We start from the raw sequence: 24,485 nt of genomic DNA, 5'->3' as shown, positions 1-24,485 counted from the left end.
TTTTCTGCACTGGAAGAAGGGATTAAAATCTAAGCGAGGTAGAAGACTGAGAAGAGAAAAAAAAAACAACCCAAGTGTGGCAAGAGAAACTATAATTAAAATAGCAAGTTGCAATTCGAGGTGGGGGTTGGAGAAGGAGGATAGATGGCTGTAAAGACCAAGGGACATCCAGTGAAGCATCTGACAGAAATGATTCCCAGGGATGTTCTGGGGAGAAAAATCCATCTGGAAACAGAGAAAAGGAAACGAAACAAGAATTTGCTGCATTATTTAAAGCTTTCAGGCGGAGGGGGGGCGTTCCGGAGAGAGGAGGTTAAGAGAGAAGAGAATGGAATTGCTCTACCAAAAGGATTAAAGGAAATCATAAGGGCTTTTTAAAATGACTCAAGCAAAGAAAAAAAAAAACAAAAAAAAAGCGGGGGAGATGCAAATAATTGTAAGCTGTGAAATTAATGGTGGCCAAGATTCTGAGTTCATTCTTTAAATCTGCTTAATGGGAAAAAAATGAAGGAGAGGCATTTGTATGCTTGGGGAGTAACGGAGTCCTGGAAAATGCAGTTCCAGAGAGCACTGACAGAAGCGAATGCATGGCAGAGAACGTGTGTCCTGGGAGAGGGCAGGGCTGGCAGGAAAATCAGACACCACCGCAGGGCGATCCGCTTACATAAAATACCTGCACTAACTCCCTTTGATGTTTGCCTTCCCAAATATTTGACTCTTTCATAGAAGGCTCCACATGATGTCCAGAAATTAGCAAAGTCAAAAGATGCTCTTGCGAAAACACCACATGGCATCAGAGGCCTGGGTTGGAATCTTCGCACTGTTACTAGGTTTGTGACCGTGGGCTTGTTACTTTACCTCTCTCAATTCCATGGCTTTAGAGGACCGCACTGAGGATTCAGCGGGATTAAGTCCGAGCCTCACAGACAGGGTCTCACTCTGTTGCCCAGGCTGGAGTGCTGTGGTGTGATCTCCACTCCCTGCAGACTTGACCTCCTGGGCTCAAGCAATCCTCCCACCTCAGCACCCCACCCACCCACCCCAAGTGGCTGGGACTACAGGCAGGCACCACCATGCCCAGTTAATTTTTTGTACTTTTTTTGTAGAGACAGGTTTCACCATGTTGCCTGGGCTGGTCTCAAACTCCTGGGCTCAAGTGATCTGCCTGCCTTGGACTCCCAAAGAGCTGGGATTGCAGGCGTGAAGCCACCGCACCCAGCCCAGGAGAGTCTTAACATCCTCCCTCACCTAAACTTCCCGTGCACAGTAGCCCACCTGTCTACCCACCACAGCCACTCACATTCAAGCCCACCTCGGTGCTTTGTCGCATCCGGGCTTGCCAGCCCCCGAGCTCCTTCCCCTTAGCCTTTTTCCAGTCCCTTCCCAGAGGCAGCCCCCACTCTTATGAGATGTCTATACATCCTGGGGGAGTCCAGCAGGTGAGCATGCAGCACTGGTTCTGGGAAGCACGGACACTAAAGCTGCCCTGTCAAGGGAGGCTGTAGGGAGAAGAGAAAGGGAAAACAGTTTGGAAACAAAGCTGGACTTCTAAGCAAAGAGTGAAAGGGCTTGGGTCTCAGGAGAGCAGCGGGATTGTTGAGGCGTGCTGGGGAAGGAATCAGCAAGGCCCCGTGATGAACTAGCTCCGTGGCACAAAGATGACGGGGTAGCCTACATGGACCCGCACCCGCTTCTGCGGGGAACCCCAGGTCTGCCTCTCCAGGGCTGACGGTGGTGGATGATTTTCCCGAGCGCTGCCCCGGCTGCACTCGACTGCCATTGGCCACTTGACGCCTGCCTGTTTTTAAATAGCTGCATCAGACTTTTCATTCTTCTTTAACGGAGTTCACTGGGACCTTCAGCTTATGTTTGGGAGTGGAGTGGGTGTGGAAAATGAAGCTTTTCCTAGAGTTGCACTCCCCAACCCTGCTCTGGCTCTAGGGATCCTATCTAGCTACAGCCTTTCTGCAATGCTCACCCGGCCCTCCTGAGCTCGGCTGTAATCACATGACTGGCGGTAGTAAAGAGGAAATTACACGTCTGCCTCTCATGCCCACCATTTTCAGGTCTGTGATGAGGCTGTGACATAGCCACTGAACCCAGGACCCTCCAGCTTGCATTTGCGCCGGCTGAGGCTCACCACGCATCACTGTGCTGCTTCCAGAGCTCAACTGTGCTCCACTGTCTGGGAGATGGGAGAGAGCTGCTTATCCATCCAAACCCCCAACTTGCCAACTCTCCTGTGGCAGAGGCAGTCGACCTCCATCTGTAACCCTCGCCTGGTGCACCCGCCTCCCCGTGGGAGTCTGATTCAGTTGGGAGTAGTTTGGGAATTATAGTCATCAAATACCAGACAGTGACATGGAGCAAATCACTTACCTCCTCCAAGCCTCAGTGTCCTCCTTTGTAAAATGGGGACAATTATACACACTTCATGGCGCTACTGGGAGGATGAACTGGGAAATGCAAGTGCAATCTTTTGGTAAAATGAAAACTCTTAGACAAATGAATGTAATTATTGATTGCTTATGCATACCCCGGGAAGCATGTCAACCCACGCCCCTGGTGGAATCTTCCTTAGGCTCCTTACATAGAAGCTGGACTAACACCCTCTCCCACTCCCCCTCCCTTTTATTTTAGCTTCCATTGTATCCTAAGCTCACCTCTATAATTACACTAATCAGCCTGTATTGTAACTGTTGCTTTGCATATCAGTCTTCTACAGTGGACTGACCTCTTCTTGGGGGTAGGGGATGTTCATTCATTCAACAAGAGTAAATATTTCTTCCCTGGCTCACAGCAGGGGCTCAATACATCTTTGATAAATGAATGGACTGTGATACTGGGGTGAGATGTCAGATATGGCCACCAGGTGGCAATCAAGTCCTTCTTAAGCAAGTCGACTTGAGTCATTGCAGAGGCCCGTCTCAGAGCAAGAGAGGGCTCTGCAAGAATTTCTCGCTGGTGGGTGAAGGCCAGGGCCTGGGTGCTGGGCCTCAAGTTCTCTTTGTGTCTGGCACCAGCTCTGTGCAGACAGGACCATCCACCATGGTGTCCTGAGTCCTACATCTGCCTGGAGCCTGAATGCCCAAGATGACCCTGGAGGAGAGACCCAGGTTATATCTGGGGGAGCCCTGGCAAGCTCAGCTGATGGGATCCGAGGGCCAGTGTACACGTTCTGTGCACGTATGCGTGTGAGTCCATGAGTGGGCATGTTTATTAGCACCCTTGGATCCCTCCGTGGAGACGTGGCCATTTGCCTACCCTTGTAAGCAGCAGGGTGGAAAAGTAGAAAAGTGCAGAGAACACTGAGGCCCGGGCTGCAGGACCAGCCCATCGCTGACCCACTGTGTGCCCTAGGCAAGGAGCTTTCCCTCCCTGGGCCTGTTTCCTCATCTGTGAAATGAGGGCAGTGGGTTACACGGCTAAGGGCCTTTCAAGCGCTGACATTTCTTCTTTGTGTCTCTGAGGTATGGACTGATTCAAGGGCTCTGGGTCCTCTTCGGGATTCTCAGACTGGATTGGGACCTGAATTCTTAGGGAGACTGGATGCTACCTCTGGCTTCCGACCTGGGCAAAACCCTGCCTCACTTGGGTGGCTACCTGACAGATGCTGCCCTGGGTTCAGAGAGGAAGGCTCTCAAACAGCCATGGGGATGGTCACTTGCCTGTCTGTCTGTGGATGTTTCCCAGGTGGGGCCACCTCACCAGGCCTCTCCTTGTTCTGTGCTTCCCCAAGTCCCTTCCTTTCATTCTCAACCCCCCAAGTCTCTCATCTGGCGGTGTGTGTTGCTATCAGCTGGAAGGTCAGAACCTGTGACAGACCTACTGGTCTAACACACTGGAGGCAAGCACAGCCTGAGGCCTTGGTCTCCTGGGGCCTCTTGGGACCCCCACCCCAACCTACTCCTTTTACCTCCAGGCAGGACAGACAAGACAAATGAGAATCTACCCAAGCACAAGCTGCTGTTGAAATAAAGGGAGAGATGTCTCTTTATAACTTTCCCCTTGAAATAAACCCAGACTTAAGAACAACAGAAACACGCAAAATGTGTTTTTAGTGGAACCCAGATGAAGGGCTGAAAGCCCAGAGGGCTCTCTCCATCTAGGGTTCTCCTCTTTGGAATTCTATCCTTTCCTCCCCACCCCCCTCAGGCACGTCCCCGCCCAACCTCTGGGCTGGGGCTCCTTGGCCTGGAGTAGGCTACCTCCAGCCATCCTGGCATTGCTTCCAGGTAGGCAGAGCACTCCGCCCACCATCACCCTCCAAACACAAGGCTGAGCCTGGCATCTAATGAGATCTGTGGTTTCAGAGATTTGGGGGACAGGAGTGGGGACCAGGACCAACTCAGTGCAAATACCTGGATCTGCTGAAATACAACAAAGAGAGAGTGAATTAAGACATCTGAAAAAAATACTCTAAGGAATTCTGCTCACCCACGTGGCCCACTGCTTCTCATTAAATAGTTGCAGTTCTCCATATTAACATATGCAAATCCAGCCCTGTGCAGGGGCTGGGGAGATACAAAGGCAAGTCCTTACAACCCCTTTCTCGCTCCCCTAAGTTTGGTGGAAGGAGTTCCCTGTGGGGTGAAGAACTCTCACAGGTTCCATTTCGATGCTTGAGAGTTGTAGCCATGGGATGCTCCTTCCCTGCGGGGAAACAGATGAGAGCAGTTTCAGGGAAAAACGAGGAAACTGATCTGTAGAGGCTGCATCTTCTAAGTTGTACGGGTCATTTTTCAACATTCCTGGATGCCCGCCATATGCCAGGAGCTTACCTTGGGTGCTGGATACACAAGAGATAACCAAGACATCGGGACTAGCATCAGATTGCTCATAGTCTAGTGGAGAAGAAGGAGAAGGAGAAGAAAATCAGATATTATAATTAAACAGCTGATGGAAGGTGCTGAGTTTGGTCATGGATGCATTGCCTCTGGGACCTCCAGGTGAAAATCATCGGATGTAGAGGGTCTGATGCTTAAGAGTAATTTTTAGGCAAGAAATGTAGATTTGGGGACAGATGAGCCAAGGTCAGAAGGTGCAGGGAATGAGGGGAGGATAGTATCAAGGAAAGAAGGAGGTGCAAGAACAAAGAAGGATTCAACAGGGTCCAACACCACCAGTAAGGACTAAAATGGGTTTCCCAGCAGCTTCATCAGGACATCACCCCTGCCCTTCGTCAGAGTGGTTTCAGTGGTGTTGTGGGGAAAGAGGCCAGGTGAGGAGGTCAGAGGAGACGGTGAGGGGAGAGGAGGCAGTGGGCAGAGCCAGAGGCAGGAGTAAGTGCCATAGAAGAGATGGGAGGACATGCATGTGCCCGCCTCACAAGGCCACAGCAGAGAGCCTGGGGCAGAGCAAGCCTTCAGCAGAGAGGAGAGGAGTTTTTTTCCTCCTCCCTTCTGCCCCTTCTAGAATAGTCAAAGGCCACCTTGGGTGAGGAAATGGCTAGAGAAAGGCACCCTTCTTCCAGTCATTCAGTAAACATTTATTGAACAGCTACTAGGTGCCAGTCTCAACACCAGGTGCTGAGGATACAGTAGACAGCAAGAGACACGGCCCCGCCTTCCTGTGTGGGAAGGTCTTCCACCCCATCCCACTTCTGAGTGGCTAACAATGGCCACAGGACACTCACAGCACAATTCCCACTGGGGCGCAGCCCAGGCAGGGGTGGGAAAGCATGTGGGGCTCATCTATGTCCTCTGGAGTTTCCCCTGGTCCCCAGTTCTTGGCCCGGTTTCTCAGAAGACTGCATTCCTACTAAGGATTTAGGGGATGTAATTTAAGCAGCAGCCCTTTGATGGTGGGGGTGGGAATATTGCATTTTCAGAGGCAACTCTTAAAGAACAGAAAGCTTTCCTGCCAGGATGGCTCTGGAATGACAGCAGAATGTCAAGCAGCTTAAGAAAATTGAGGGGAATTTTTTTTTTTTTCTGGAAGGGCATAAGTGGTCAGACATGATGGCTCATGCCTGTAATCCCAGCACTTTGGGAGGCCAAGACGGGAGAATTTCTTGAGGCCAGGAGTTTGAGACCAGCCTGGTCAACATAGCAAGACCCTGTCTCTACAAAAAAAAAAAAAAAAAAAAAAAAAAAAAGAATAGAAAAAATAATAATACTAATCAGACTTGGTAGTACACACCTGTAGTCCTAGCCCCTTGGGAGCTGAGGCAGGAGGATCACTTTGAGCCCAGGAGTTTGAGGCTGCAGTGAGCCGTGATCAGAAAGCCGGGGACGTACAGTGTCCTTTTGGCTCCCAAATCATTCAGATCCTGTTTTTCTATTTTGCTTCCTCCTTTTTTTTTTTTTTTTTTTTTTTTGAGATGGACTCTCGCTCTGTCGCCCAGGCTGGAGTGCAGTGGCGCCATCTTGCCTCACAGCAACCTCCGCCTCCTGGGTTCAAGCCATTCTCCTGCCTCAGCCTCCCGAGTAGCTGGGCCTACAGGCGCCCGCCACCATGCCCAGCTAATTTTTGTATTTTTAGTAGAGACAGTGTTTCACCGTATTGGCCAGGGTGGTCTCGAACTCCTGACCTCGAGTGATCTGCCCATCTCCGCCTCCCCAAGTGCTGGGATTACAGGCCTGAGCCACTGCGCCTGGCCTTCATTTCCTCTTAGCTGAGGTCCTTCCGGTCTGCAGATCTTCCTCCTGGCGGCCTCCACTCTTTTCCCTTTCCTGTTCCGTGTCTACCTTTCGTGGGGGAGAGAGTGGAGCACCGCACGGAAGAGGTGCCATGAGGACAGGGGCCGCGTCTGCTTCCCCAGCTCCTGGATCCCCGCCTGGCACACAGTGGGCCTTCAAGATGGATTCGTTGCCTGAAGGAAGTCAAGAAGCCAGGCTAGCGTTCCATTTTTCCTCTCCCTTCAAGGCCTGTGCAGGGAGGGCCTGGCTGCTGCCATGAAGGGGAAGAGAGCCCGGGACAGTGACTCGCCAAAGGGCCCCGGCCAAGGCCCAGCGCAGCAGGAAGGCCGGCCGCATCCTGTCGGAGCCGCACCTCTGGCTTTCGGCCGTGACACTGGGACCCAGGGAAGCCCTGGGATCTCCCCAGGGACCCTCCGACATGAGCCCTGTTCCATATGCCTGAAGAGCGGGGCCAGGAGGGAAGGAAGTGCCCAGACACAGGGAGACAGAGCATTAAAATTCCAGCGGCAGTTCCACGGGCAGGAGCTCGCGGTTCCTAACTGACCGTAAACCCTTTCTCCTGACAGCTCTTGGAATCCATCACTCCAGCCTCTCCCCGAGCAGCTGACACATCGCAGCAACGCTTCTCCAGAAGTCAGGGTCTGCTGACTCCGGCAGGGACGGGAAGGCAAGCGAGCGCGAGCAGCTGAAATGGCCCCTGTCTCCCCTGACTTCGGGGCCGAGGGCAGGCGGGCCGGGGAGGCCCATGGAAAGGGCTGTCAAGTGTAGCGCGATTCCCAGCCACAGCCCGAGAAGGTGGTTTGCTAACTGTCTGCCTCTGGGTGGAATTCTATTAACCTAGTGGGGGAAACTCGTTTTCTCCCCACTGAAAGCTCTGAGTGGTGTGTCACATATGTCTTTTATTAATAAAAAAAAAAAAAAAGAGAGAGAGAAAATAGAGTCATTATGACTGCATAATTACAGTTCATTTGGTAGGCCAGATCTTTCAAACCCGGGTGCTGGGGGTGCGGTGGAGGGGGGGGTGATAATAAAAGGGACCTTGATATGAACCGCTTGGGAACCACCTGTGTAGGAGGCAGTTCGGGAGCAACTCTCAAAAGGTGCAGTGGCTTGCAAGATTCAGAGCTGGCGTGGGCAGGGACACCCCTCTCAGAGCTAACACAGTGCACCGCAGCCCTGGCGCCAGCTCGGGGAATCAGGTGACCTTAAGCAAGGCCCTACCCTCCCAGAGTTTCTTTCTTTCTTTCCTTCCTTCCTTTCTTTCTTCCTTTCTCTCTCTTTCTTTCTTTCTTTTTCTTTTCTTTTCCTTCCTTCCTTCCTTTCTCTCTCTCTCCCCCTCCCTCCTTCCTTCTTTTCTCTTCTCTTCTCTTCTTTCTTTCTTTCCCTTCCTTCCTTCCTTTCTTTTCTTTCTTTCTTCTTAAAGTTAAGGTGTATAGACTTAACTGCCCTATAGTTATGTTTCTTTTCTCTTTCTTTCTTTCTTTTTTTTTTTTTTTTGAGACAAAGTCTCACTCTGTCACCCAGGCTGGAGTGCAATGGCACCATCTCGGCTCACTGCAACCTCTGCCTCCTGGGTTCAAGCAATTCTCCTGCCTCAGCCTCCCAAGTAGCTGAGATTACAGGTGTGCACCACCACACCCAGCTAATTTTTGTATTTTTAGTAGAGACGGGGTTTCACCATGTTGGCCAGGCTGGTCTTGAACTTCTGACTTCAAGTGGTCTGCCCGCCTCAGCCCCACAAAGTGCTGGGATTACAGGCGTGAGCCACCGCGCCCGGCTAGGAAGGCTACTTTTTAAGATGCTAACCTATCTCAGCTCTAGGACTTGGAATAGAGCTTTAAAGGAGCGATCTTGTGCTCCTGGGAGTCAGCAGAGTGGTAGCAAATATCAGAGGGAAAGTCCCCTCTTTGTTTCCACACAGAAGTGGCGTTCTGGAGGCCAAGTTCAGGCCACATTGTCAGCCACCCCTCCCAGCTACAGTTTCTCCTTCCAGTATTCTTTTGAGTCAAAACTTTGGAACATTTCTGTGTTTCTTTTCATGAAGAAGATATTTTACTTATAATACCTGTAAGAAAATAGAGCCAAGATTAAACATAGAGAACCTCCCTCTTCAAACATGAGGGAGAATCCCTAGAAAATGGGCTAGGACTCATGGATGGGACCTTCATGACTTATTCTGCGGATGACAGATCCTATTACTGGTCCGTCTGCCAGCACCACCAGGGGCAGCCACGCCAGCCGGAGAGTCACACAAGATGGGGTCTGTTTCCTGGCTCAGCAAGGGAGAAATGTACATCCCTCACCTCTGGGCCTCTAATGAATTCTGATTCAAGCTGAACAGGCCTAGGAATCGATAGTTTTAATCATTTCAAAAACTGGACCCACTCTGGGTAAAATTACAATGCGTAAGAAGCTCAATGGAGCTTAAAGGCCACAACCTCATCATCATTTCATTAGACTCACATTTCAGCAAGATAGAAAGAAACGTTCTCACACACCGCCCCCTCCCACAGCTCCCCTGTCCTCCCCAGCCCTGTGTAGTCATGCTGGAGGACAGCGATGGTTTACAGCAGCCGTCAGCCACCACAGCCACCGGCCCCCTCCCAGCGTGCGCTCCGCCCCGGAGGAAGCTCAGCGCAGTCGCTGGAGACCTCCGTGCAAATCAGTGCCTATGCCTCCCAAGACAAGTTTGCAGTCCTGGGAAGTTTAGGAAAAACAACCCTGCTGTCAGTGTGGCTTCTCACAGCTGGAGGGGTCAAGTTATCAACACAGTATAAACCCAGGCCAGCAGAACCTTGTCCCACCCGGGGCCCCAGACGCCCTCTGGGAAGCAAAGAGTTTGAAAATGTCTTAAGCTTTTCCAGTTTGTTTATTTTCCGATGTTTAATGATATTGTCCATGCAAGGAACAGAACCCCAGCTCCTGCTAACAATTAAAGAGGTTTTCTAATTTAGGAGAGAATGTGATTTTTTCAAAAAGGGAGAAAACTTGCACAGGAAGTAAAGCAAATACTCCACATTGAGAACATGCATGCAGAAAAGCCTAGCGTCAAGAAGACCCTGACTGCCTGGTGAACATATGGAATGAAAACTGTTCAGGGCGGCTGACCCAACGAGGAGGCAACATCGGAGGAGGCTGGCAAACGTCTGCTGGACCTTACTGCACCGCTGCCACCACCAGACTGTTTCATGACTGTGGCTTGTATCTGTGACCCCAGACCTCACCATCCATAGGTCCAGATGGGCTCCCATCGGTGAAATGACCAGAATTCACTGTGCTTGTTTCTGTCTGCTGTAGGCTTACTCTGACTTGGAGGACCTCTTGGGAGTGCCCCGCGTGTGTTCGTGAACAGGACTGTCAGCGAGAGTCCCTCTCCCCACGCGGCTCTGCGCTGATGTCGTGCTGCCACAGTCACTCCAGGGTCACCTCGTTTGCTGGCCTGCCCTGTGGGAACGCTGCCACCCATACCCAGGGCGTTGCCTTTTGAAGACCCCAAAACTGCAGTGCCTGAGGCTCCAGAACAGGGCTGTTGGCCTCATGCCCTCAGCACACAGGAGCCTCCCTGTGTCCTGGGGTGTCCTCTCCACTCTGTCATATGCTGTCAACTGGACACCCTAGAGGACTGACCTCCCTGAGTCTCGCAGGGTAGTGAGGTGGGATGGGGGGTGAGGTATGTTTCTCTCTACTTCCCTTTCCTTCCATCCACTGCCAGTAGACATTTGTGCCCCACACTTTTCCAAACCCAGCAGACTAGGAAACGGTTGAGGCTAAAATTAGGATCCCTACTCCGTGTCCTCAGACCAGTGGTTCCCCACCTTGGCTGCGTATTAGAATCACCTAGGGAACTTTAAAAAAACTCTATTTCCTAGGCCATACCTCGAACCATGAAATCAGAATCTTTGGGCATCAGTAATTTTTAAGTCTCCCTGGGCAATTTCAACGTGCAGCCAAGGTTGAGAACCACTGCCTTAGAGGAAGGAAAGGAAGGAGGCAAGGAAGGGAGGAAGTAGGGGTGGTGGGAGGGAGGACAAGGCCAAAACTGGAAGCCCTTTCCCTGTGATGGAAGAAAACTGACGTGAGCCAGACCTGGTGCCACACCCCGGGACACACACCGAGAAAACCCAGTGAATCTTCTGCCAAGCCTGCCGGTGACTCGGGGTGCTGTTGTCAGTATCTTTTTTCAGCTGAGTCAACACATCGGGAGAGCCGAAGAAGACAAACACAGGGCGACTCGCCGCTGATGACTTTCCACTTCATACCTGGTGGCATCCGAGATGCCCAAAGGGAGGAGGCCTTGTCAGTGGCGACAGCGGAGACAGACAGAACCCTACACTTGATGGGATGTCGGGAGAGCGTCCAGTCTAGCCCTGTGTAGATTTCTGAACTACCCAAGACTGCTGGCCATCTGTCCCAAGAACAGGTGTGACCAGGAACCAGCCTCTGTTAGCTAGGAACACAGAGTCTGTTCATTCATTCATTCGTTCACTCACGCATTCGCCTAATCACAGCTCAGCATGGCAGAGCCGTGAGTAGGGGCCCTCAGATACCACATGCAGCTCGGCGCTTCCCAAGCTTTGTTTTTAGTTGAGGAATGCTGGGTTTAAGTGAAACCGTATGGAGGCATAAACAAATACAAGAGAGCCGCTCCAGCTAAAGCAGGGGAGGGGGCCCTGCGCCCGGCCCACTTGCCTCCCTTCCACTAAGGGGGCTTCACCAGATTCTCCTGTTTCAAGGAGAAATAGAGTTTGGAAACCTCTCATTTTATAAACGAGGACACTGAGGCACAAAGCAGGGTAGTTGGTGCCTTGCCTAAAGTCATACAGATTTCATGTAACAAATTGTGCTGGCTAGGTATGGGAGGATGCAGAGCTCACAGCACAGATGAATACCTCCATCGCAAAGGCTGAACCAAATGCCCCGTTAAATCAAGAGATCTGCCTCTCTCAGCTTTGTTTTCTGAAGAAATCCCTTCCCAGGGTTCTTCCCCAGCATGCGGCACTCAGGGAGAACCACAACCTTGTCCTCTAGGGCCCAGCAGGTGTAATGTTCAGTGGGCATGCGCTGGTGCAGCATACTGCCAGCATCCACGCCGGTGTCCTGGGGGTTTACCTGATTGTTAACTATTTTAAAGATCACACTTGGATCCCACTACCAATGTTTCCAAAGTACAAGTAAGAGCCGGACGCGGTGGCTTATGCCTGTAATCCCAGCACTCTGGGAGGCCAAGATGGGCAGATCATTTGAGGTCAGAAGTTCGAGACCAGCCTGGCCAACATGGTGAAACCCCGTCTCTACTAAAAATACAAAAATCAGCTGGATGTGATGGCAGGTGCCTGTAGTCCCAGCTACTCAAGAGGCTGAGGCAGGAGAATCACTTGAACCCGGGAGGTGGAGGTTGCCGTGAGCCAAGATAACACCACTGCACTCCAGCCTGGGCAATAGAGCGAGACTCCTTCTCAAAAAAATAAAAATAAAAGCAAAATGTGACTAAGAATCAGACAGTAACAGAAAATATCAGTAACAAAAGAGTCCACACCTGCCTTTCTCATTGCTATTATTTGATACCAGAACTACCTGAAATCTTTCAGAAAGAGGGAAGAGCATTCTTTTCCTGGGAGCTTTCTAGGTGCAGACTTCCGCTCATAGCTGACAGTGCACAATGGGCAAAGAGTGACCAGGCTGACTTCTTCTTCTTCTTCTTTTTTTTTTGAGATGGAGTTTTGCTCTTGTCGCCCAGGCTGGAGTGCAGTGGTGTGATCTTAGCTCACTGTAACCCACGCTTCCCGAGTTCAAGCGATTCTCCTGCCTCAGCCTCCCAAATAGCTGGGATTACAGGCACCCGCCAACACGCCCAGCTAATTTTTGTATTTTTAGCACAGACGGGGATTCACCATGTTGGCCAGGCTGGTCTCGAACTCCTGATCTCAGGTGATCCTCCTCAGCCTCCCAAAGTGTTGGGCTTACAGGCGTGAAACACCGCGCCTGGCCTATGCTGTCTTCTGGAGATGGACTGAAGGCCACACCAGGCCTCGGGACACAGCCTGAGGGCTTCAACCCCTGGGAAGGGATTTCTTCAGAAAACAAAGCTGAAAGAGGCAGGTCTCCTGATTTAACGGGGCATTTGGTTCAGCCTTTGCGATGGAGGTATTCACCTGTGCTGTGAGCTCTGCATCCTCCCCTACCTAACCAGCACAATTTGTTACATGAAATCTGTATGACTTTAGGCAAGGCACCAACCACCCTGCTTTGTGCCTCAGTGTCCTCGTTTATAAAATGAGAGGTTTCCAAACTCTATTTCTCCTTGAAACAGGAGAATCTGGTGAAGCCCCCTTAGTGGAAGGGAGTTCCATCCCTGCCCCTTCCACTTGCTGACAGTCTGCATGTGGCGGGGGCACGCGTTTCTCTAATCCACAGTGTACGTGTAGTGGGTGCTGTCCCCCCCAGGAACCACCCTTGGCTGAAGGGAGCCGTCTTGCCTGGGTTTCCCCCTCCCAGAGGGCACAAGGATCCCATCGCCTCAATGGGGGCACATCTTAAAAGGGCCACCCAAGCTTCAGCACACCAGCCTCGCTGCCGTTCAGCCTTTCCTGTGCCAGCCTGCCTTCATGACTCCCCAGCGGGGCTGCTCCGTGAGTGCTCCCAGTTACCCTGCATGCCGACAGCCCATGAGTGCTCCCAGTTACCCCGCACACCCAGAGCCTGCGTTTTGAGAACCTGGCCCAAAGCAGTACTCAACCACAAAACAGGGGCAGATTCCTACCTCTCGGCTACGGTGAGGGTTAAGTGAGCACACTGCTCACATGAAATTTCCTCTCCAACGCAGCGCCTGGACTATAGTAAATGAGCCATACATACTTGTTCATTTCCTCCCTCTCTCCATTCTTTCTTCCCCCAAGTGTGTTTATAGTCTTTATTGTGAGTGTTCTCTATCCTTGGAGAGAGACATCTGGCTCTCTGTTCATTGGCAGAACTGAAGTGATTGACACACTCTAAACCTAGTAAGTGTCTCATCCCTTTCTGACATACAATTGTTTATGTAGCTGTGCTCACTCCTCATACCAACACACACACACGCACACACACACACACGTACAGACACACACACGCACACACATGCCCACAAGTGGTATTGCCGAATCCTGCAGTCTTTGTAGTTTCACAAACATCCAAATCTTGACACCACTGCCACAACACACAGAGAACTGCTTGTGTGGAGACCTGTATGCCAGGTGCTGTGAGACATCCCAGGAGGGAGAAGCTCATTTTCCAATGATGGAATCAAGGAGGGCTTCATGAGAGAGGTGACATTTGTCATGGGCTTTGAAGGCTGCATAGAAATCCAGCAGGCAGAGGGGTGGGAGTGGCTTTCCAAGCCAAGGGAACTGTGGAGTTGGGAAAACACAAAGCATGTCTAGGCAAATCCTCCAGTCTAACTGAAGATAAAGCTTCAAGAGGAGGATGAGAGGGAGGAGCCAAGGGTGGGAAGGTAGTTTGTGACTTGACTGGGTGGGGCCTTGAGTGCCAAGCTGAGGCCAGAAGTAATGAGATTCTACTGACAATTTCTGAGAGGTGGAGGGAGAGCTTTTGGAAGGTCAGTCATGGAGATGATTGAATGAAAAAGATACTGAGGTCAGGCCAGACGCGGTGCCTCATGCCTGTAATCCCAGCACTTTGGGAGGCCAAGGTGGGTGGATCATATGAGGTGAGGAGTTCGAGACCAGCCTGGCCAACATGACAAAACCTTGTCTCTACTAAAAATAGAAAAGGTAACTGAGAGTGGTGGCACACACCTGTAGTCCCAGCTATTCGGGAGGCTGAGCTAGGAGAATCGCTTGAACCCAGGAGGCAGAAGTTCTAGTGAGCCGAGATCACGGTGCTGCACTCCATCCTGGGAGACAGAGCAAGACTCCATCTCAAAAAAAAAAAAAAAAAAAAAAAAAAAGGAAAGATACTGAGGTCAGAAAAACAGTGAGGAGGCCGTGGTAACAGACAGAGCTAGCAAGGACCCCCCTCCTGGAGAGGGGATTGGTAGACCAGGAGAACAGGAGGAGTCTCAGGATAAGAATGTGAGCATCCACCCCTTCCAGATCACCACTACCACGAAAACCTTCAGGGGCAGCTGTGCACATACCCCCAGCTCATCATCTGAGAACGGGTGCCAAGTGAACTCCATCTCCAGAAATTGTTTGGGGAAGTGAAAGAGGAAACCGAACTCAAAATAAGGGTGCCTGACTCACTGTCTCTCAGTGACCATGTGCAGAAAAATCCTCTGAGCCTGCCACCAGCCACCTCCTCTGTCCACACCTTACTTCACAGGAATTCAGACACCAAGAGGGAGTCCCACACACGAAACACCTGGAGACGTGAAGAAACAGACTCAGCCCTACCTCCCTCCTCCCTCGCTGCGAGGTCTTGGGCAATCACTGACATATTTCCGGGCCTCAGTTTTCTCATCTATAAAATGATAATAATAACCAGCACTACCCATTTGTGGGACTTTTATGAGATCAAATAGCCCAATAAACTCGAAAATGCTTAAAGCTCTTTGGAAGAAATGCAAGTGTAATTGTTGAAGTTGTTATGTCATTGGATATTACTATCGCCACTACCGCTATAAACTTGCATATCTCTTTTCTCTGAAGAGGTCAAATGCTGTTCATGGTGTTCTTCTTTCATGAATAATTTCCAAACACCTCCTCTTGTTTACAGGTGGGCCCTACACGAGAAGGTTCCACAGATACTGCCTGCCTAAAGTGGATCTTGAGTCAGATCCTACGAAAGCCAGAAGGAGGGCATGGCTGAGAGTACCTCGGAGAGGCAGAAAAAGGGGAGCTGACTCAACACTGCTCTGTTGGGAAGGTGCGGTGTCCCGGGGAGGGAAAGGCAGGTGACTCAAGGTGAAACTTTCTGGACACAGAGGAGCTGGGATCTCTCATCCAATTCATGCAAATCCTTGGCTGCCTCAACCCAGATCCCACCCCTCCCCATACGAGGCTACCTTCTGGTCTCACTGCCTTGAAATCTAACAGTGCAGCCAACGTGACTCACCAACCATGTGGCTTGCAAACATCACTAAGCTTGTCTCATTTTCCTCATCTGTAAAATGGTTTAATAATCTCTGAGCTGCCTGCCTTCCAGGGCTGATGTGGGGAGGAGGAACCCATGGGCTGAGGATGTAAGAATGCTTTGGTGACTATGAGGTGTTGTATCAAGGTAAAGGGTTGTTGAGGGAATGTTTTAAGATGATTTCTGGGTCAGGCGCGGTGGCTCACACCTGTAATTCCAGAACTTTGGGAGGCCAAGGCAGGTAGATCACCTGAGGTCAGGGGTTCGAGACCAGCCTGGCCAACATGGTGAAACCCTGTCTCTACTAAAAATACAAAAAATTAGCCAGGCGTGGTGGCAGGCACCTATGATCCCAGCTACTCGGCAAGCTGAAGCAGGAGAATTCCTTGAACCCGAGAGGCAGAGGTTGCAGTGAGCCAAGATCGCGCCATTGCAATCCAGCCTGGGCAACAGAGTGAGACTCCGTCTCAAAAAAAAAAAAAAATGACTTCTGGCTTGAGGGTGGTGGTGGTGGTGGCGACTGGAGGCTGCTCTGGAGTGGTTAGGGGAGATGTTGGGGGAATCCCAGGAAGCCAGACCCAAAGTTCCAAAGTAGGGAGAATTCTCTTGAACATAGGTTTAAAGTATCTCTTAGTATTCTGGTACAAAGTTCCTTCTTCCCCCAAAAAGCAAATCACAAGACCAGGACAATGTGTGGGGATCACGATCTTCCGGCAGCCCACAGCTTGGCTGTTGCACTCTTCCTGAATGCCTCTGGACTTTCTAGACAGAGGCACGGAGCTGGTCTGGGACAGTCCCTCCAACCAGACTCTGATCACACCCCCAAACTCAAGCCCACCAGGCTGACTGATGTTGACTTCTACCAGTTGAAGGCCATCCTTAGCCACACTTTCCCTCCTTGGTGTAGTGGCCATAGACTCCGGAACTAGACTGTCTGGGTTCAAACCCCAGGTTTACTAATAGCCAGCCATGTGTGCTCTTGGGCAGGTTATTAACCCTTCTGGGCCTTCACTTCCCCATCTGTATTTGTGGCTAATAGGGCCCATCTCATAGCCTTGTTTTAAGAGTTAAATGTATTAACAAAGTGTTTAGCACAGTGCTTGCCACTAAATAAGCACTATTTCTGTACTGGCTCCTTCTGCCAAGATTGAGCTGAAGGTCTGTTTTTTGTTTTTGTTTTTGTTTTTGTTTTTGTTTGAGATGGAGTCTCGCTTTGTCACCAGGCTGGAGTGCAGTGACGTGATCTCGACTCACTGCAACCTCCACCTCCTGGGTTCAAGCGATTCCCCTGCCTCAGCCTCCTGAGTAGCTGGGACTACAGGCACGCATCACCACGCCCAGCTAATTTTTTTGTATTTCAGTAGAGACAGAGTTTCACCATGTTGTCCAGGATGGTCTTGATCTCTTGACCTCATGATCCACCTGCCTTGGCCTCCCAAAGCGCTGGGATTACAGGCATGAGCCACCACACCTGGCCTTAAGGTCTGTTTTTGAGAGGCCTCTGTGACTGCTTTCTGCTGTATTGCCTTCCTCCACAGTTGCCTTTTTTCCTTGTCATGTTGGTGCTTCCTGGTCACACAGAAGCAGAGAGCCAGCATTCATCCTTCTTGGGAACTCTCGGTCCTCTCCTCTTGCCTGGGTTTGAGATCCTCCTTTACAAAGTCATGTCCCTCTCATCATTCAAAACTCTGCTCAGTACCTATGTCCTTCATGAAACATGGTAGTGGTGGCCATAGTGGGAGAAGCATAAACTCTGGGATCAGACAGACCTGGGTTTGAATCCAAGCCTAACTTGTCCCACCAGCTGGGTGACCTTGGGCAATTACTTTACCTCTCTTAGTCTCAATTTCCTTACTTGTAACATGAGGTAAGTATCTCTTCCTCATGGATGAAGATGAGGATGACGCCTGAGGCAGTGATGGCACATAATAGGTGCTCAACAAATGTTACTCTTCCCTCCTCTCAACCTTGCTCTGATAGCAGTTTCTTCTCTCTCCTCCAGCCCTTAACAGCATCTTACAGCCTCAGTAAGAGGTGGAAACATACATACACACTGTGTGTATGTTCTTAGATATTTATCATGTGTTGGCTCTTCTTTCATTCATTCAACATTTATTAGGCATTTGCTATTTGTCTGATGCTCTGCTAGGCCCTGGGGAAGACTAAGACTGAATCTTTTCCCTGAGGAGCTCACAGAAAATTGAGAGGATCATCCTAAGGTCAGGAGTTCGAGACCAGCCTGGCCAACGTGGCGAAATCCTGTCTCTACCAAAAAAATATGAAAATTACCCGGGTGTAATGGCAGGCGCCTATAGTCCCAGCTACTTGGAAGGTTGAGGCAGGGAGAATTACTTGAACCCGGGAGGTGGAGGTTGCTGTGAGCCAAGATCATACCACTGCACTTCAGCCTGGGTGACAGAGAGAGACTCCGTCTCAAAAAAAAAAAAAAATTTGAGAGGATCAAATATATGTATGTTTAGATAATCTCAGAGTCTACGGTCAGTGTTCTAGTGGGGGGCGTGTCTGCACGGCACTTTCGATGACAGCATATGGTGCAACTAACAAGGCTCCTTTCAGCAGTCAAAGGCCTTCAGTTCAACTCAGCCAGTGTTGACTGGGCCCCTGCTGTGTGCCAGGCACTCTACTAGGTACCAGGAGTTCAGGATGAAGAAGACAGTGCTTCCACCCTCAAGGAGTGCAGGATCCGGTAGGAAAGACAGACAGAGGATATAAGGGTCACACCGTGTGGACAGTGCCTCTATGCCCAGGTGTGGTCATGCAAGAGGGAGACAGCTAAGTGTGAGGGGTAAGGATGACTTCCTGGACAAGGTGGCATCTAAGACTTGGAGGACAAGTAGGAATTGGCTAACAAAGGAGGGACAGAAAGTCCTTCCAGGTGGAGGGAAATAGTCTGGGAGGAGTCAGGCCGGGCCTGGGGCTCAGGGGATTAAAGGTAGTTCCGTAAGGTTGGACGCATGCACAGGGAGCTTGGAGCCTCCAGCAAGATCCTCTTTTCTTCTGTTTCTGTCCCCAACACCCTTTCCCTGCTCACATCCCTCAGCCCCAGCTCCAGAAGACCCCTTTTCTAGAGGCTTCAGCCTCTCTGATGCTAAAACCTATCCTACCTTGGGGGCTATGCAGCCCAGGCTCTTCCGGAGGGACAGAGAAGCTGTGGAAGGAAAACGGGATGGGGAGCTGAGAGTGGGCAAGAAAGAGGAGAAGTCCCCACCCCTCCATGCAGGGACACTGACCAGCGTCCAGGGTGATCCCTGTATTGGGTCACTGCATACTCGTGGCGACAGCTGCTGGGTGTCAGGAGAGATCCTGCTTCCTTGGCTGAGGCCTCCCCACCCCAGCGCCTGCTCACCTGTTCTGTGCTAAGCCTCCACACGTCCCCTCCTCCTGCCAAATCAGTTTCCGCTAATTAGGTCAAGGTGAAGGTTATCTCCCCTCCCTGGAGTTTGACCTTGCAGCCAGCAGCCCAGGAGAGTTCTGGCACACCCCATATTTGCCAGGGGACATGTGGGCAGTTACCACACTCACGTGCACACATGCGCACACCCCCTCCCACACGCCAGCTCACAGTACCCACGCTCACACACAGACACTCACACCACTTACCCACGCATCTGCTTAGAGACACACTTGCACGCACGCCAGAGGGCCCAGCTTGCCTCTGCTCTATAAGCTCCCTTGGGAGAGAAGCAGACCTCCAGAAGGTTCTGGGCCTCCAGCCCAGGGATGTCAAGCCCCATGCCAGAGAACCCTCCTATCTCTTGCTGAGAGGTTACCAAAGGGTTAAGAGAGAACATTTCCAGGGAGTTTGCCTCTTAATCAACACAGTTAATTCTTTTCCTTTTACAAATATAAATTCTTGGCAGTCAGTAACCAAGAAAGAAAGGAGAAAGAAAAAAAACTTAACCCAACATTAGTCAAATCTTTGCCTCTTCCTATTTTTTTTCAAGTTAAGACCCAGAGGAATTCAAAGCAATGAGACAAATCCCAGCCCAGATGGAATGTTTTTGCTAATATACGTCTGCAAGTTATTTAAATGTATGTTTAAGTGTGTGTGTGAGAGAGCGAGAGAGAGAATATGAGAGCAGGCAAGCATGGTTGAGCGGTGTGTGTGCATGTGTGTGCCTCTGTGTGTGTGCATGTGTGTGCCTGTGTGTGCATGCATGTGTGTGCATGTGTGTGCGTGTGTGTGCACACATGTGTGTGGCTAGAGCACACAGCAGAGCAGAGGAGCCACCAGAATCCCTGCCTGAGCCCCAGCTACCCTCTGGCCCTGGCTCTCTGGTCTGGACCTGGAGCAATACAAGGCCATTGCCCGGAAGGCTGTCCTTGTCCCTCAACATGGGGTCTTCTGGGACAATAGCCCCTGTTTCTGCCCCTCAGCCCCAAGGTGGCCTCAGTGACACATTCTGCTAAGGAAAACCCACCCACCATACGCATGTCTTGCCCTCGTTTCCTGCTTAGCCAGAAGGTTTGGGGCTGGAGTTTCCAGGCCTGGAGGAGAGGGATAGTTGAGAGGACCAGGCTCCATGGCACAGAGCTGCTCCCCACACCCCGCCTCCAAGAGTGGACCTGCCTGGACTTGAAATCTGGGCTTAGACTGTGTTCCTGGCCTCTCTCTATCTCCTCTCAGACCTCTCTCAAGATCTTCAGCCCCCTGTGGTATTCCCTCTCACCCCAACAGAATCCCCCATGGATGACAGGGTCAACCCTTACCCACGGACTGCACCTCAGCAGGACTCCCCACCCCCTGCCCCTAGAAGCACCCTCAGTTGGGTTCAGGGTGCAGGGGCCTTGCAGACAACCCCTGAGCTCCCCACCTGCCCCTAGCTCCCTCTCGTCTGCTCCCTTCTGAGTTGACTTTAATTCTTTTAATCTTTCCTCTGAAATCGCTCCTCTGGCCTTGCCATCAGCTGTGTGGGTTCCAACTTCCTGATTTCCATAGGGAGATTAAACAGCTTTCTCCATCCAAGGCAGTTTGGATGTCCGGGCCACCCCCTGGGCTGGCTAGACCCCTCTCTGCCGAGGGGGCTGCTTTCGCTCTTTTGAGCCCTGGCCCACCCTGAGTCCCGGGCCTTCCACATGGAACTTCCCATGCCCCCTCCCTGCCCTGCCCCACCGAGAGATTCCCGCCCTCCCATGTCTTCCCTTTCACAGAGGCCTCTCAGCATCTCGAACCAGGCCCAGAGCCTGGAGTGCACGACTTCCTCCATCAACAGCTCCTGGGAAGCAGGCAGGCGGGGAACAGGGTCTGGGATCCGCAGAGAGGATCCCCTGCCTGGCTACTGTCCCCTTGCCCCAGCCCCTCTCCAGGCTTCTCTGCTCCTTCCACCACTCGTGCCCTCCGAGGTCCTTTTCTGAGCATGGGGCCATCCGCCGTCTGTGCTGGCTGCTGAGGGGACAGGACTCACCAGCTCTCAGTGTCATCTGCTCTGCTCTTCTGTGGGTGCCAGCTCAGGACCTGGTGCTCAGCTGAGCCTGGCAGGAGACAGAGCAAAGTGGAGTCAGGTTCAGGGGACTAAGTGGGAAGGGAGTTTGGGGAGGGGCACAGAGAGGGTGTCCAAGGGAAACTAGAAATGAGGCTTTTTTTTTTTGAGACGGAGTTTCACTCTTCTCACCCAGGGTGGAGTGCAGTAGCGCAGTTTTGGCTCACAGTAACCTCCACCTCCCACGTTCAAGTGATTCTCATGCCTCAGCCTCCCAAGTTGCTGGGATTACAGGTGCATGCCACCACACCCGGCTAATTTTTATATTTTTAGTAGAGACAGGGTTTCATCATGTTGGCCATGCTAGTCTCGAACTCTTGACCTCAGGTGATCTGCCTGCCTTGGCCTCTCAAAGTGCTGGGATTACAGGCGTGAGCCACCACGCCCAGCCTACAAATGAGTTTTGTATGGCATGTCATTTGAACTTGCCCTGAAATGTAGCTAGGGGATGGAGGAAGCTGAGATCTGACTTCAACATGGGAGGAACAGTTGCTTAGAAAGGAATCTCTGAGGCAGAAAAGGGGAAAGAAGACCTTCTGTGGAACGTGTCCTGGAATGCCACCTTGTCAGGGCTATGATTTGCCTCTGAAATGAGTGGGGTCCTGGGGCCTCCACGCATGGACACCAGCTTCCCAAGGCCTAAAGATGCCAGATGGACTCTTGGGTCTGTCCTAGACCGAGGGCTTCTGGGAGTCCCTGAATCTCCTGACATTGTGTGCAAAGTATTGTGGATCTGGGCAGCATTACGGGGCTTCATTCATGTTCTCAAAGGGTCTCTCACCTCAAGAAGCTAAAAACCACTATGCTGGAGGTTAACACAAAGGTGACCCTTGAGGCTGGCCAGAGTGACCCAAAGGTCACGCCACAAGTGGGCCAGAGTGGCACCAGATGACTTCTGGCTGAAACAAGTAGACCGGGTCAGGCTCAGGCAGTCACATGAGACACATCTCATTTCTAGATGTGGGGAGAGATTCTGGAGATGACCTTGGCTCCTGGAGATGGCATCTTAAAGCAGATCTCTGCCAGGCGAGATCCCGTGGCCCATGGGACACACCTTCACTGGGCCTGAGCTGTCTGTCGGCTTCATCTACTGGGACACTGGCAGGTATTCACAAGTGAGACGGCAAAGGTGACCCACGGTGGGCCCCGGGTCTTCCAGTGTCAGTGAAATGTGCACAGAAGGGTCTGGGCCTATACCTTTCACAATGTGTATGAAGGTCATCTGTCTCCGAGGGAAAACAGTGGCCAGTCTCCAAGGAGCTATGAGTGTGCCCAGCGCTGATGTGGGCAGCTCAGGGGATCAGAGACAGGGCGGGGAGGTCATTAACGCCAAGGAAGCAGAGCTGCGTAGTGAAAGGCCCTCAGCCCACCTCCACACTAGCCTCTCTGCGCCGCAGTTCCCTCCTGGGGGAGGATGGAGCTGGCCTGCAGGGTTTCTGAGGGCCCCTTCAGTGCCACCATCCTAGGTTTTAAGAAATGTCCCTCCTGGCCGAGCGTGGTGGCTCATGCCTGTAATCCCAGCGCTTTGGGAGGCCGAGGCAGGTGGATCACCTGGGGTCAAGTGTTCGAGATCAAGCCTGGCCAACATGGTGAAACCCCATCTCTACTAAAAACACAAAAAATTAGCCGGGCGTGGTGGTTCATGCCTGTAATCCCAGCTACTCAGGAGGCTGAGGCAGAAGAATTGCTTGAACCCGAGAGGCAGAGGTTGCAGTAAGCCGAGATTGTGCCACTGTACTCCAGCCTGGGCGACAAGAGCTAGACTCCATCTCAAAAAAAAAAAAAAAGAAATGTGTCCCTCCCACTCCCTGGGCTCCTGTTTGGGGGGTGGGAAAAGTAGAGATTATCCAAAAGCCACAGAAATTTCCCAGCCCTCTCCCCACTGCACTTCAGGACCACCCACCCAGGACCTGCCCTGGGCTCCCTCCTCCCAGAAAGTCAATTTCCCTACAAAGGAGGCTGGGGAGCGAGAAGGGCTTTCTGCTTTCTCTTTTGGTTTGCTTGTTTGCTTGCTCTCCCGCTCACATTGTGCATATGCAGGGGACTAGCTGGTTCTCTCGGTCTCGTAAGAGGAAGAGTGGTGACCCTGGCTCAGATAGGTGTGGAAGGAGCATCCTAGCACCGAGGGGCATTGGCTGCTGAGCCAGACAGGGGGCAGGGTGTGCACTCTCCTCTGGGCCTGCAGAGGCAAAGTCCAGTCTTTGCTGTTCTAGAACAGACACACTGCAGTCCTGGATAACCCCCTAAGCTCTCTTTCTAGAGCCTGATGGCTGCAGAATGTTTTCTCCTGGCCAATGCGTGCCTGTGTAGTTTATATACATGTGCGTATGTCTGTAGATATGTGTGTATAAATATAGATAGACGGATATAAATCAAGGGTTTAGGAGGTAGGCGGCGGCGCTGACGGCAGCCAAGCCACTGCTAGTTCTTCCAAGAGGGCAGCTCGGGTGTCTCCCTGCACTCCTCTCCCGTCATTTCCGCCTGTGGCTCCTGGTTCCCACTCCCAAGCGTCAAGCTGTCATCATCACCAACTCCTCCCTCACTTCCCCCCACAGGCAGGCTGTTGCTATATCCTCACTCATTCCTCCGCAGCAACTCTGAAATCTGTTTCTTTCTGGGTCTCACCCGCTCCCTCAGCAGCCCCCTCATCGTGTCCCCATCTCTCTTTCCGCATCTCCTTGCCTCCTGGCCTCTGTTTCCTTGGCTTCTCATTCTCTTTGACTCTGAGCTCGTCCATCACCCTGACCCGCTCCTCTGTGCATATTCTAGGGACACACCGAACTCCCAGCCCCCTCTGGATCCTGTTCTCCTTCCCTTCACTCTGCCTCTCTCTCTGTCTTGTGTGTGTTTCTCTCTCTCTCTCTATTCATCTCTGTGTCAAGTACCACAGCCAGGCACTTTCGTTGGGGAGGGTGCATTTCTAACCTCCTTTTTTCTAGCCTCACTGTCAAGTGCACGTTTGTCCTGGCCTGGGCTCCGAGCAGGGGCAGCACAGGGAGAACGGCCCCATGGTTCCACCTCACCAGCTGTGAGAACCCGTGGGCCTGGGGAAGAGCAGCTGGGCCAGGAACCAGTGATGCAGCCCTCTCTGTGACGGAAACAAGACACAGGCCTGGCTCATTTGCATGTCAGGTCTCTTTTACATAAATCTGCATGTCAAGCTGGAGGCCCTGGAGCCAGGTAATGCAAAGTGATGCAAAATAAATTAATCAGTGTGCCCTGCTGCAGGTGTAAGCCAGCCCTTTCTTCCAACTGACAGAGCAAAGCCAGATGAGCT

The 24,485-nt window shown here is 51.6% G+C and overlaps 2 long non-coding RNA genes across 5 annotated transcripts, besides 1 other annotated feature; one reads left to right on the top strand and one right to left on the bottom strand.

Annotated features, from left to right (window-relative positions):
• Positions 1-75: 75 nt before the first annotated feature.
• On the bottom strand, positions 76-7,560 carry LOC105374253 (uncharacterized). Of its 4 annotated transcripts, none has more exons than XR_924790.3 (4): positions 7,186-7,560; positions 4,782-4,844; positions 1,301-4,653; positions 76-225 (listed from the first exon to the last, which is right to left on the bottom strand). It is a non-coding gene; the product is annotated as an uncharacterized LOC105374253 (long non-coding RNA). The 4 variants fall into 4 exon arrangements; XR_007096196.1 differs by having other exon boundaries at positions 76-2,185; positions 2,380-4,653; XR_007096195.1 differs by having other exon boundaries at positions 76-4,653.
• Positions 2,725-3,019: a silencer, noted in NCBI's record as "tiled region #13352; HepG2 Repressive DNase unmatched - State 12:CtcfO". NCBI's record gives its function as "represses a minimal TATA promoter and a strong SV40 promoter by Sharpr-MPRA in HepG2 cells {active_cell/tissue: HepG2}" and the evidence as "EXISTENCE:reporter gene assay evidence [ECO:0000049][PMID:27701403]".
• Positions 7,561-7,664: 104 nt separating the features above from the next.
• On the top strand, positions 7,665-24,431 carry LINC02069 (long intergenic non-protein coding RNA 2069). The gene is made up of 3 exons (NR_110043.1): positions 7,665-7,840; positions 15,351-15,500; positions 22,167-24,431. It is a non-coding gene; the product is annotated as a long intergenic non-protein coding RNA 2069 (long non-coding RNA).
• The last annotated feature ends 54 nt before the right edge of the window (positions 24,432-24,485 follow it).

Source organism: Homo sapiens, chromosome 3 (genome assembly GCF_000001405.40).
Source record: "Homo sapiens chromosome 3, GRCh38.p14 Primary Assembly".
In the NCBI taxonomy this organism is placed as follows: domain Eukaryota; kingdom Metazoa; phylum Chordata; class Mammalia; order Primates; family Hominidae; genus Homo; species Homo sapiens.
This window is presented reverse-complemented; position numbering and strand designations above follow the sequence as displayed.